The sequence below is a fragment of the Homo sapiens genome, chromosome 19, assembly GCF_000001405.40.
Source record: "Homo sapiens chromosome 19, GRCh38.p14 Primary Assembly".
Classification (NCBI taxonomy): Eukaryota; Metazoa; Chordata; class Mammalia; order Primates; family Hominidae; genus Homo; species Homo sapiens.
The window spans coordinates 50,418,904-50,431,928 of record NC_000019.10 but is presented as its reverse complement, the minus strand read 5'-3'; the positions used below and the strand labels follow the sequence as shown (position 1 = coordinate 50,431,928).

The window sequence follows — 13,025 nt, the reverse complement described above, 5'->3', positions numbered from 1 at the left end:
GGCTAGTAACGCAGCGTGAGGGACCCGGTGTGAGGAAAACAAGTCCCTCCGCTTTTTTTTCCTGTTCATCTTCCCCCTCCTCCTTTTCCAAAACCCCCTACGAGCCGGAAATTTCTCCGCCTCCGGGGAGCGTCCAGCCAATCCGGCGTCAGTTCCATGTGATGTCACGGGTTGCCAGGCAGACTGCCACTGCGCTCCCGCGAGCCCCGCTAAGTTGGGGAGGGGCCCAGGCCTGCAGTGCCGCGGCCACCTGAAGCCTCGCGTCCCTCGCTGCCAGCCCGAGGGCTCAATTCAGAGGGAAGGGGACAGACACCCAGACGGAAGGGGAAGCGGGGAGGAGGTGGAGAACTTCAGTTGGCAGGAATAGAGGAAGACATAAACGGAACCCTCTGTGCCTGCGCGTCAAGCCTCTTATTTCTCGGCATTAAGGTTCAGATAGGTTTTGCTGTATGGTGTCTTTGTGATTTGTTTGTTTGTTTTTGAGACAGGGTCTCGCCGTGTCTGGAGTGCAGGGGCACGATCACGGCTCACTGCAGCCTCAACTTCCTGTGCTCAAGTGACCCTCCCACCTCAGTAGTTCGGAGTAGCTGGAATTACAGGCATACGCCACCACACCCCGCTAATTTTTTATTTTTTTTGTAGACGGGTGGGAAGGGGATCTCACTATCTTGCCCAGGCTGGTTTCAAACTCCTGTACTCAAGCGATCCTCCTGCCTTGGCCCCCCAAAGTGTTGGGATTACAGAGCCACCGCGCCAGCATATAATTCTCTCTTTGAACTCCTCTCATCATCACCCGTGATGTCACGGTGTCTCTGAGAGCCAGCGGCCTCAGTGGAGGGGCAGGATTGCAGTCCCTGACAAAAGGTCCCAGGAGGTTTGTCTACGTCGATGCATCTTATTTTATTCCACATTTAGGGTGACAATGATAGCTTTTGTAAAAAGTACCTTCCCCGTTGCAGGGGGCCCTGGGGAGGACGTTTTACCTGCCCTTCCTCCCTCCCCCTTCCCACTCATTCTCTTAAGGGCAGGTCCCAGCCTGGGCTCTGCCATCAGCTGCTGTGTGCCTCCACATGGACTTCTCGTGTCTCTAGGTCATTGGCATTCCTTCCTCCTCCTCCTCCTGGGAGTGGGGTGGATTTCAGGCGGTGTCAAAGGCTCAACGGGGCTGCAACAGTTTTTTTTTTTTGAGACGGAGTTTCGCTCTTGTCGCCCAGGCTGGTGTGCAGTGGTGTGATCTCAGCTCACTACAACCTCCGCCTCCCAGGTTCAAGCGATTCTCCTGCCTCAGCCTCCCAAGTAGCTGGGAGTACAGGCACATGCCACCACGCCCAGCTAATTTTGTATTTTTAGTAGAGAAGGGGCTTCACTATGTTGGTCAGGCTGGTCTTGAACTCCTACCTCAGGTGATCCACCTGCATCGGCCTCCCAAAGTGCTGGGATTACAGGCGTGAGCCACCGCACTGGGCTGGAAAGTCTTTTTGAGATCTTCCTCCTCCTTCTCTCCCTTTTTCACAGAAGGGACAAACTAAGGTTGGGAAGCAGCAAGTCATGCACCCTAGATCCACCTGCCCACCCAGGCTCAAGGACCTCTGGCCTCTTGGCCCGCAGCCTTTGACTCCCTGGGGGTCCCAACCAGGGCTCCATAGTCCACCCAGGCTTCAGTTCCAGCTGGGTTTATACAGTGGTCTAAAGCCAACAGGCTTGAGAAGCTGCTAGGGTGAGATAGCCAGGGATGGCAGCGACTGGGGCAGATTGGAGAACAAATGCCTCATTAGGAAAGGCTACTGTCCTGTTCCAGCTCCCCACCCCCCACCGAAAACTGGCCGACTCTCTCCAGACCGTCCAAAGTTTTAAGTGAAGGCAGAAATCTGGATTATGCAAAGTCTCCCTATTTTGAATGGTCTGCTGTTTTTGTTGTTTTTATTTTCAGACGGAGTCTCGCTCTGTCCCCCAGGCTGGAGTGCAGTGGCACAATCTAGGCTCACTGCAACCTCTGCCTCCCACGTTCAAGCGATTCTCTTGCCTCAGCCTCCCGAGTAGCTGGGACTACAGGCACGTGCCACCACGCCCAGCTAATTTCTGTATTTTTAGTAGAGACAGGGTTTCACCATGTTGGCCAGGATGGTCTCGATCTCTCGACCTCGTGATCCGCCTGCCTCGGCCTCCCAAAGTGCTGGGACAACAGGCATGAGCCACCGTGCCCGGCCTTGTTTTTGTTTTTAAGACGGTGTCTCACTCTGTCGCCCAGGCTGGAGTGCAGTGGCACGATTACAGCTCACTACAGCCTCCTACTTCCTGGGCTCAAGAGATCCTCCCACCTCAGCCTCCTGAGCAGCTGGGACCACAGGTGTTCACCCCCACGCTCGGCTAATTGTTTTTGTTATGTTTTGTAGAGACGAGGTCTCATTATGTTGCCCAGGCTGGTCTTGAATGCCTGGGTTCAAGCCATTCCCCCTGCCTCGCCTCCCAAAGTGCTGGGATTACAGGTGTGAGCCATTGCCCAGCTGATGGCCTGCTGTTAATGTGGATCCCTCACACCTCCACCACCAAGTGCTACAGTGCACTAAAGAGACCACCACCAGCGACCGGGGCCTCGGTTGGGGGGCAGGGGGGTGACGACCTTGAGACTTCTGGTTAGAAATGACATGGGTGGGGAGCTGCCATGATCACCCAAAATCAGTCGCGTGGCCAGAGTGGTCTTCAGCATGGCCATAGGGAGTGGCACTAGGAAGGGTAGGATCCCCATGAGAACTCAGTCTTTGTGGGGTCCCTGAAAGGGCATATCAGATGGAGAGCCTAGGAGGTCTCAGATGTGATTGGAGGATCCCAGATATAACAAGGGTGTCCCTGACAGGGCCCAGACATGACACATTTCACTGACTCCCCATCCTCCACCCCAGACCTCTCAAGAGTGATTTCAGACATGACAAAAGGATCTTGGAGGAGCCCTAGATGTGATTGGGGAACTCCAGACACATAAAAAGGGGCAGCAGAATAGTTCCAGAGAATTGGGGGATCTCAAAAATGAGGGGACAGATGTGACAACACAGCCATAGATGGGCGAAGAGATCTGAGATGATAACAGCTCCCAGAGGGCCCCAGACATAACTAGGAAATCTCAGATCTGACAAGAGGGAACCTTGGACAGGGCTCAGGGTTGCCAGCAGGGCCCCCACCCCAGATGAGATTCAGGGTTTACAGACACACAGCGATCTTAAAAACGTCCCAGGCCTCACTGGGGAATCAGATATCACAAGAAAATCCCAGAGAAGCTCTTGGGATTCTGGAAGAACTGCTACCCTGCCTCCCCGAGTATAGTGGTCCATAGGTCCTGTCACCCAAAACATGAGGATCCCAGGGAGTCTGTACATGACAAAGAAATCCCAGAGGACCCCAGGCACAAGTGGGGAATCCCAGACAGGCCCGGGCTGGGCTTGGGGATTATGGCAGGGCAGCACTCCCCTTACCCCAAAAGGTGGGGATGCGTAAGTCCTATCACCTAGAGTGTGGGGACGCCCTTTTTCTTCCAGGGGGATCCTGGCTGGGACGTGAGGTCCCCCAGCGGCTCCGCAGGTGGGAGCCTCGGGTGTGCTCAGGCCCGGCGGACTGCAGGCAGCAGCGCGCTGTCGAACTGGTAGGTGAGCTTGCGCTTGACCTTGCGGATCTCGCCGGTCTTGGCGTAGTTTCGGAGGGCGCGCGCCAGCTTCTGGTAGGTCATGCGCTTGCGGTTCCCCTTCTGCTGGCCCCAGCGGCGCGCCAGGAGTTCCTTGTGCTTGGAGGAGAACTGGAAGACGCCGGCGCCTGGCTCCACCCACCACACGCACTCACGCATGTCCCCGCGCGTCAGTAGCCCCAGCAGGAACTGGTACAGGCGCAGCTTCTTGCGAGTCCCTGCGGTGGGGTCGGGGGCACGCGTTAGGTGAGGGGTCCCTAAGGCCCCGCCTTCCCCATCCACCCTCCTCCGAGACTTCCACCCCGGCCTCCATCTCCTGGATCTGAAAAGTGGGGTGAGGGAAGTGGCTGTTACATACACCTGGCTCTGCGCCCCTCACCACGGGGGGGGGGGGGGGCAAGCCACTCCCCCTGCCCGAAGCTGTCAGCCCCAGGCCCCCTCCGCGTTCTGTGCTTTAATTTTCGAGATTTACATCTGTCCTGCCTTCCGCCCTGCGGCCAGCACGTAATATTCCATATTTGTTGAGCTAGTGGATGAAAGAATCTGTGAAATGGGTTGACAGCGCCGCTTAAAGGATTATAACGGAGAGGCGAACAGATCTGGAGGCAGTTGCATTGGCCTGGCTATCTCTCCAGCTCCTGGTCTCCCAGCCTCTCAGCCCAAAGCGGGACAGGGTCCCGGGAGAGGCCAGGGCACCTGACTCCTGGGCTCCTAGGGTTTAGTTTGTTTTTGAGACGGGGTCTTGCTCTGCGGCCCAGGCTGGAGTGCAATGGCGCAATCTCGGCTTACTGCAGCCTCTGCCTCCTGGGTTCGAGCAATTCTGCTGCCTCAGCCTCCCGAGTACCTGGGACTACAGACGTCTGCCACCATGCCCGGCTTATTTTTATATTTTTAGTAGAGACGGGGTTTCGCCATGTTGGCCAGGCTGGTCTCGAACTCCTGGCCTCAGGTGATCCGCCCACCTCGACCTCCCAAAGTGCTGGGATTACAGGCATGAGCCACTGCGCCCGGCCAATAACTGGGAGTTTCAAAGCAGGGCACTGGCTACAAGAATCCCATCTCTGCCATTTTACAGCAGTGTGACCTTGGGGTGGTGACGTAGTGACATCTTAATTTCTTTTTTTTCAAGGCAGGGTCTCGTTCTGTCACCCAGGATGGAGTGCAGAGGAGCAATCACAGCTCACTGCAGCCTCGACCTCCTGGGCCTAAGCAATCCTCCTGCCCCAGCCTCCCCAGTAGCTGGGACTACAAGTATGCACCATCATGCCTAGCTAATTGTTTTATTTTTTGTAGAGATGGTGTCTTACTATGTTGCCCAGGCTGGTCTTGAACTCCTGGCCTCAGGTGATCCTCCCACCTCGGCCTCCCAAAATGCTGGGATTACAGGTGTGAGCCACTGCACCCGGATTGAATTCTTATAATTTTAGGCTGCCTCGGCATTCATCGAAAGTATAAGTTGGAGGCTGGGCGCGGTGGGCCATGCCTGTGATCCCAGCACTTTGGGAGGCCAAGGTGGGCAGATCACTTGAGGTCAGGAGTTCGAGACAAGCCTGGCCAACATGATGAAACCCGGTTTCTACTAAAAATACAAAAATTAGCTGGGTGTGCTTGGCTCATGCCTGTAATCCCAGCTACTTGGGAGGCTGAGGCAGGAGAATCACTTTAGCCCAGGAGGCAGAGGTTGCAGTGAGCTGAAATCATATCATTGCACTCAGCCTGGGCAACAAGAGCGAAACTCCCTCTCAAAATAAAATAAAATAAAACTAAATAAAAGTTGGACATTCTCATGCTGGAAGCAGGGCTGTCCTCCTTGGCAGTTCTACATCTCCCTCCCCGAGTTCCTCAGTGTGGCTGACCCAGATATCTCTCTTATGCAACTGACTCCTGGTGACCACCTCCCTGTGGGAGAGCCATGGACAGCCTACTTGACGGCCCTGCATGGACTGTGCAGATGCCTCAGTGACCCCCTCTCAGGCACAGCGTGACCTCCTGGAACTTGATCCTGCTTGCTTTCAACCCACCAAGTATTTATTTATTTATTTATTTTGAGCTGGAGTCTTGCTCTGTTGCCCAGGCTGGAGTGCAGTGGCATGATCTCAGCTCACTGCAAACTCTGCCTCCTGGATTCAAGCGATTCTCCTGCCTCAGCCTCCCAAGTAGCTGGGATTACAGGCGTGCACCACCAGGCCCAGCTAATTTTTGTATTTTTAGTAGAGACGGGGTTTCACCATGTTGGCTAGGCTGGTCTTGAACTCCTGACGTTAGGTGATCTACCAGCCTCAGCCTCCCAAAGTGCTGGGATTATAGGCATGAGCCACTGTGCCTGGCCTGAACCCACCAATTAAAACCCCCTCAGGAAACCTGTTTGGCCGACGCCTTGGACCCAATAAAGGCGTCAGTCCACTGGTCCCTCTCTCTCTCCCTCCCTGCCTGCGCTCCCTGACCTGGTGTGTGTGGCCTCCAGGCGTGCCATGTATGCCCCAGGACCTATAAGCCATAAAATAATTTATTTCTGGCTGGGTGTGGTGGCTCATGCCTGTAACTTCAGCACTTTGGGAGGCTGAGGTGGGAGGAGCACATAGGCTCAGGAGTTGGGAGTTCAGCCTGGGCAACATAGCGAGACCTCACCTCTACAAAAATTTTAAAAATTAGTCAGGTGTGGTGGTGTACGCCTGTGGTCCTAGCTACTCAGGAGGCTGAGGCAGGAGGATCGATTGAGCCCAGGAGTTTGAGGCAGTAGTGAGCCGAGATTGCGCCACTGCGCTTCAGCCTGGGTGACAGATGGAGACCGTCTCAAATAAATGAATAAAAATAAATAAAATCTTTATTTCCATCTTGTGTCTTTCCTAGTCATTGGAGAGATCCTCTCCATCTTAAATGTCCTAAGTTAAAATAGGTGACTTAATTAACCTCTCTGAGCTGAAGTCTCTCAGCCACAAATGAGGCTGTGTGGCTGGGCACAGTGGCTCACGCCTGTAATCCCAGCACTTTGTGAGGCCGAGACGGGCGGATCACCTGAGGTCAGGAGTTTGAGACCAGCCTGGCCAGATGGTGAAACCCCATCTCTACTAAAAATACAAAAAATAGCTGGGTATGGTGTGGGTGCCTGTGATCCCAGCTACTGCGGAGGCTGAGGCAGGAGGATTGCTTGAACCCAGAAGGTGGAGGTTGCAGTGGGCCGAGATCGTGCCACTGCACTCCAGCCTGGGTAACAGAGCGAGACTCTGTCTCAAAAAATAAATTAATTAATTAATTAAAATTTTTTAAATGAGGCTGTGGTTTTGTTTGTTTGTTTTTGAGACGGAGTCTTGCTCTGTCACCCAGGCTGGAGTCCAGTGGTGCAATCTCAGCTCACTGCAACCTTTGCCTCCTGGGTTCCAGCAACTCTCCTGCCTCAGCCTCCTGAGTAGCTGGGATTACAGGCATGTACCACCATGCCCCATTAATTTTTTTTTCTTTCTTTTTTCTTTTTTTTTAAGACAGAGTCTTACTCTGTCGCCAGGCTGGACTGCAGTGGCAAGATCTCGGCTTACTGCAACCTCTGCCTCCTGGGTTCAAGCGATTCTTCTGCCTCAGCCTCCCGAGTAGCTGGGACTACAGGTGCACACCACCACGCCTAGCTAATTTTTGTATTTTTAGTAAATGTGAGGTTTCACCATGTTGGCCAGGATGGTCTCGATCTCTTGACCTCGTGATCCATCCTCCTCAGCCTCTCAAAGTGCTGGGATTAAAGGCATGAGCCACCATGCCCAGCCTAATTTTTGTGTTTTTAGTAGAGACGGGGTTTTGCCATGTTGGCCAGGCTGGTCTCGAACTCCTGACCTCAGTTGATCTGACCGCCTCAGCCTCCCAAAGTGCTGGGATTACAGGCGTGAGCCACCACACCCAGCCTGTGTGTTGATTTTTACAATGCACCGTGGAGCATGTAGTGCCAGGTGCTTCACAAGGCACTTTACAGTTATGAGCTCATTGAATCTCCATCATAACCCCGTGAGATGGGGAGGATGACAGTGATGCCCACTTTACAGACGAGAAACCGAGGCCCAGACACAGAAAGGAAGGAACGATCTCAGCTTTCTTGGGGTTGAGCATAAAGGATGTTGGGCACACGGGCAGGGGGCAAGGGTTGAACCGTTGGGGGTTGATAGCATTATCATTTCTGTTGCTGTGGTGTCGGGAATGATGGTGAAGAGGTTGACTTATTGAAGTGCTCACTCTGTGCCTGGCACTGCTGTCCCATTTACACTTACTATCCCATTTAGTCCCCCCAACGACCTCAGGAGGGTAGACACTATCACCTCCATCCCCATCGCACAGACAGGAAACCTGGGCACAGAGAGGTAGAGGCACTTACCCAAGGTCACACAGCCAGCAGGTGGTGCGGATCTGGGAGCTGCCCAGAGTGCTGGAGTATATGTAGAGGCCCAGGAAGCCATGGTGCTCTCAGCCCCCCCACCATCTCCAGCTGGCATCTCCCCCACCCCAGCCACTCCCGCATACCTGCCTCGGATCCCTTCCCCTCGGGGCCAGCCACGAGGGCCTCATCCGACTCGCTGTCCGAGACCTCCAGGGCAGGGCTGTCCAACGGTAAGTCTTCCTCCTCTGATAGCACAGGGCTGGGGTACGGGGCATATGCCGGGGGAACCAGGGTCTGCGGAAGGTCAGGGTCACCTGCATGTCCAGGGACCCCTTGTCTCCCTCCACTTCCTCCTCTCAGGCCAAGGCGGTGGCCCTCCTGGCTCTGGTCTCCCTCTTTGTTGACAGCCTAGATTTTGGCCTTTGTTCAGATCACCACGCTGTGGCCAGGGGACACCTGAGGTACCTCCTCAAAGCCGGCCCAACACAGGTAATGCGAGTCTGCCCTGTCCCTGGCTTCCTGTCACTACCTCTCTTGACTCACTTGTTCAGAGGGGCAACAACGGAACGTAACCTGGGAGGCCGCTGCAGGGCTTACTATGTGCAGTCTCAATGCAGTGCCCGGCACCCAGCAAACCTCAACCAAATGACTGAGCTTGAGTTTTCTTTTCTTTTTCTTTTTTTTTTTTTTTTTTGAGACAGGGTCTTGCTCTGTTGCCCAGACTGGAGTGCAGTGGATTGCCTCGACCTTCTGGGCTCAAGCAATCCTCCTCCCACCTCAGCCTCTCAAGCAGCTGGGATTACAGGCGTGCACCACCACACCTGGTTTGGGCTTGATTTTAACTGTCCCCTTACCACTCACCTGGCTAGCGAAGTTCTCCGTGGGGTATGCAGGGAGGCCAGGCCCCGGGGCCTCCAGGCTGGGGGCCAGTTCGAGGTTCCCTGCAGGGCTGTAGGTGGGGGGTTCGTAGCAGAGCTGGGCAGCCTGGGGGTGGCTAAAAGCGGCTGCTGCCGGGTCGAAGGCTTCATAGGGGGTGGCTGGGACAGGTGGGGCCACAGTCCAGTCCCACAGGGAGTCTGGGGGAAGGGCACTGAGTCAGAAGCTGGGATGTCTCACGGAGGCCTCCTCGCAGTCGAAGCCCCCAGCACAGAGAGGCCATTGTAGGCTGTGCAAATCTCTGACCCCAGGATTTGCATGGAGGAGCGGATGGGTAGGAGAGGAAAGGGGAGGAGGGCTATAGGCCCGGGCCACCTTTATCCTGTTGTGCTAGGAAATGACCTCCCCTGGGCCTCAGCTCCCCTATCTGTGAAATGGGCCCCAAGGCAGGAAGGGCACAGGGCTGGGGTCACTCACCAGGAGCCCCCTCTGAATCAGGGTAGCTGGAATGCTTGCAGCTGTCCAGGTCATAGAAGACGCCATCTGGGTACTGATACGGGGTGCAGGAGGGAAGAGGGGTCATCCCAGGCCTTGGGGACTCCCAACCCCCACCCTGGACCCTTGGGGAGACTCCAACACAGACATGGGAGAGAAGAGGGGATGCTGGAGAGATTAGAGCAACAAAGAAACACAGAGACTAGGCATCAGAGACAGGGACAAAGAGACAGAGATACAGAGAGTAGAGACACAACCCAATAGGGGCACACAGCAGCCAGCTCCTGCTAAGACGGTGGGCTCCCAAGAACCCTGGCCCCTCACTGGCACACAGTCAGCGAATCAGGGCGCCTGGAGAAGGGGTGGAAGAACTCCCCCAGCCTTGCCTGCCTGGGGGCTCCGGAGGTGAAGGGCAAGGGGAAATGGAAGTGTTTCACTTAACAGAGGCAGGGGTCAATGCTTTTTAAATACACCTCCAGGCCAGGCGTGGTGGCTCACGCCTGTCATCCCAACACTTTGGGGGGCCGAGGCGGGCAGATCACCTGAGGTCAGGAGTTCAAGACCAGTCTAGCCAACATGGTGAAATCCCGTCTCTACTAAAAATACAAAAATTAGCTAGGCGTGGTGGCGCACGCCTGTAATCCTAGCACTTTGGGAGGCTGAGGCCAGTGAATCACCTGAGGTCAGGAGTTCGAGACCAGCCTGCACAACATGGGGAAACCCCATCTCTACTGAAAATACAAAAATTAGCTGGGCCTGGTGGCAGATGTCTGTAATCCCAGCTACTCTGGAGGCCGAGGCAGGAGAATCGCTTGAACCTGGGAGGTGGAGGTTGCAGTGAGCTGAGATCGCGCCACTGCACTCCAGCCTGGGTGACAGAGTGAGACTCTGTCTCGAAAAATAAATAGGCCGGGCATGGTGGCTCATGCCTGTAATCCCAGCACTTTGGAAGGCCAAGGCAGGCAGATCATGAGGTCAGGAGATCGATACCAGCCTGGCCAACATGGTGAAACCCCGTCTCTACTAAAAATACAAAAATTAGCCAGGCATGGTGGTGCGCACCTGTAGTCCCAGCTACTTGGGAGGCTGAGGCAGGAGAATCGCTTGAACCCAGGAGGCTGAGGTTGCAGTGAGCCGAGATCGCACCACTGTACTCCAGCCCGGCGACAGAGCAAAACTCTGTCTCAATAAATAAATAAATAAATAAATCTCCATATGTTGATTCGCCCCATGAATCATGTGTTGTTGCTTCAAGAACTCGAGTCTAGGAAAAACTAAAGCTAGATCCACACCATGCCTAGGACCTGGCAGTCTCACTCCTTGGCATTTAATCAAGAGAACTGAAAATGGATGTGCACAAAATAGCCTTGTTCCAGAATCATCCCAGCAGCTTTATTATGAGTCTCCAACTGGAAACAGCCCAGGTGTCATCAACAGAAGAAGGGATAAACAGACTGTGGTGTGGGCTGATCATAGATAGAGTACTATACAGCAAGGAAAAAGGACAAACACTGACACACACTTCATGTTGAGTGAGGGAAGCCAGACCCCAAAAGGGACATGCTGTATGACTCACTTTACATAAAGTTCAAAAGCAGGCAGCTGGGTGCGGTGGCTCACGCCTGTAATCCCAGCAATTTGGGAGGCTGAGGTGGGAGGATCACTTGAGCTCAGGAGTTTGAAACCAGCCCGGATAACATGGTGAAACCCTGCCTCTACTAAAAATACAAAAATTAGCTGGGCATGGTGGCACATGCCTGTAATCCCAGCTACTTGGGAGGCTGAGGCAGGAGAATTGCTTGAACCCGGGAGGTGGAGCTTGCAGTGAGCCAAGACGCTGCCACTGCACTCCAGCCTGGGTGACAGAGCGAGACTCCTTCTCAAAAAGCAAAACAAAAAAAAGAGCAGGCAAAACAAATTACAAATTGGTGGCGGAAAATATCAGAGAAAGGTATTGACTGAGAAGGGACAGGAAGGAATATTTCAGAGATTGAAATGTTCGGTATCTTGATCTGGCTTGTGGCTACACGGTGTATAGATAATGCAAAAACACAAGATTTGTCACTTTACTGACTTGTTAGTTACACTTCAATTAAAAAACAAACAAACAAAAACAAACAAAAAAAACATGGCTGGGGTGTGAATGTGGAGGGGCATAAACAGGGGCTTTCTTTCAACCACATCAGTAAGATTTGATTACTCAGACTGGATTGTGGGTTCAAGGGTGTTGGGTATAGTATTCCGTATCTGAACTGTTAGAGAACACAATTTTTAAAAATACGAACAAAAAGAAGGAAAGGAACATGAAAATACATTGTCTGAATATGGGATGGGCAGAGAGAGATACAAAGCCACAAGGAAGTGGATTCAAGCCTGAGAGGGGGAGAGAGACATCAAAAATACGGATGCGGGGTAGCAGGAGATACCAAGGGGGAGCTCAGAAACAAAGTGACAGGAAGAGGTGGGAGGGGAAACTGAGGCAGGAAGCAAATGACTTCTCTGAGGGAGGTCACTGTGGGCCACCCCTCCCTGGCCCCCAGGGGCCCCAACTCACCAGACAGCTGAAGTGTGGCCCGTCGAGCCTGGAGGGGGAGAGACACAGGGGCATGCTGAGGCTGCCTCCAGCCACCTGAATCTCAAAGTGGTTGGGGGCTGATGGGGAGGCGGCAGCAGCTGTGACCACCGCAGCCCTGTGTGAGGGACCAGCCCCACCACATTCACCGGACTCCCCCACTACCCCCTGCTGGGACAGGAAGTGGGGGGTGGGGGGGAGGCAAATGTCCCCCTCCTCCCCAGAATTTGCATAGACACCCTGGTGGGGAGGGGCAGGGAAAGTGAGGGAGAGAAAGTCCCGGAAAGGAGGTGTGGGGATGGAGAGGGGGCCTGGGTCAAGTGCGGCCTTGGTGGCGAGTCAGTTGAGTCCAGCTTGGACCAGAGGAGAAGGATGGAGAGATGTCTGGGTAGAGAGGGGGAAGCCCGGAGAAGACTCAGATGAGGAGGCTCAAGGAGAGGTGGGACACAGAGAAAGGTGTGCAAAGGGACATTCACGCACAGAGGCGGGGAGGATTCCTGGAGCCCCAGATGGAGGCACTGAGAGTGAGGGTGAGGCAGAAGGAGACCAAAAGGCAGGGAGAGCGAGAACTGGAGACAGAGACACAGAGACAGGCAGAGAGACAGAGAGCAACAGGCAGAATGTTGAGAGCTGGGAGATGCCAGATACAGAGCGAACAGATACGGGAACTCGGGGAGACAGGAGGATGGACAGAGTGAGAGCCACGGAGGACGCCCGCAGGAGGGCACGCTAGCAAGTGTTCTGGGGAAATGAGATCTTTGGGGACCAGGAAAGATAGGAACTGGGGGGATGGAGAGTCCGAAGTGAAGAGGGAACAGAACCAGAAGGGGCAAGAGACAGGGTGGACCCCTCCCCTCCACTCCCACCCACCGGCCGTGAGGAGCAGAGAAACCACTGCCCATGGGTGAGGCCCCACAGAGGGGCAGTGCAGGTGGGGACCCCGGGTGCAGGTTTGGGGGCCCTCACTTACTGTGCAGCCTCCAGGGCGAGCATGGTGGTGCCGGGCGGGCTGTTTGCCGCCCGCTGCAGCCGCCAACCCTATTTATATCTTG

The 13,025-nt window shown here is 54.5% G+C and overlaps 1 protein-coding gene across 4 annotated transcripts, besides 4 other annotated features; it reads right to left on the bottom strand.

Annotated features, from left to right (window-relative positions):
• SPIB (Spi-B transcription factor) lies at positions 615-12,991 on the bottom strand. 4 transcript variants are annotated; one of them, NM_003121.5, is made up of 6 exons: positions 12,944-12,991; positions 11,956-11,983; positions 9,384-9,456; positions 8,892-9,106; positions 8,174-8,324; positions 615-3,891 (listed from the first exon to the last, which is right to left on the bottom strand). In NM_003121.5, exons 1-6 carry the CDS (start codon positions 12,964-12,966, stop codon positions 3,593-3,595), a joined length of 789 nt encoding a protein of 262 aa, NP_003112.2. In that variant the 5' UTR covers positions 12,967-12,991; the 3' UTR covers positions 615-3,592. The 4 variants fall into 4 exon arrangements, with proteins under 4 accessions (NP_003112.2, NP_001230928.1, NP_001230929.2 ...); NM_001243999.2 differs by having other exon boundaries at positions 8,178-8,324; NM_001244000.2 differs by having other exon boundaries at positions 8,174-8,289.
• Positions 3,126-3,698: an enhancer, noted in NCBI's record as "H3K27ac-H3K4me1 hESC enhancer chr19:50931488-50932060 (GRCh37/hg19 assembly coordinates)". NCBI's record gives its function as "activates a minimal SCP1, AML or CMV promoter by ChIP-STARR-seq in primed H9 embryonic stem cells {active_cell/tissue: H9 hESC(primed)}" and the evidence as "EXISTENCE:reporter gene assay evidence [ECO:0000049][PMID:30033119]".
• Positions 3,281-3,570: an enhancer, noted in NCBI's record as "active region_14988". NCBI's record gives its function as "activates an Ori minimal core promoter by ATAC-STARR-seq in GM12878 lymphoblastoid cells {active_cell/tissue: GM12878}" and the evidence as "EXISTENCE:reporter gene assay evidence [ECO:0000049][PMID:35858748]".
• Positions 3,699-4,272: an enhancer, noted in NCBI's record as "H3K27ac-H3K4me1 hESC enhancer chr19:50930914-50931487 (GRCh37/hg19 assembly coordinates)". NCBI's record gives its function as "activates a minimal SCP1, AML or CMV promoter by ChIP-STARR-seq in naive H9 embryonic stem cells {active_cell/tissue: H9 hESC(naive)}" and the evidence as "EXISTENCE:reporter gene assay evidence [ECO:0000049][PMID:30033119]".
• Positions 12,095-12,144: an enhancer, noted in NCBI's record as "active region_14987". NCBI's record gives its function as "activates an Ori minimal core promoter by ATAC-STARR-seq in GM12878 lymphoblastoid cells {active_cell/tissue: GM12878}" and the evidence as "EXISTENCE:reporter gene assay evidence [ECO:0000049][PMID:35858748]".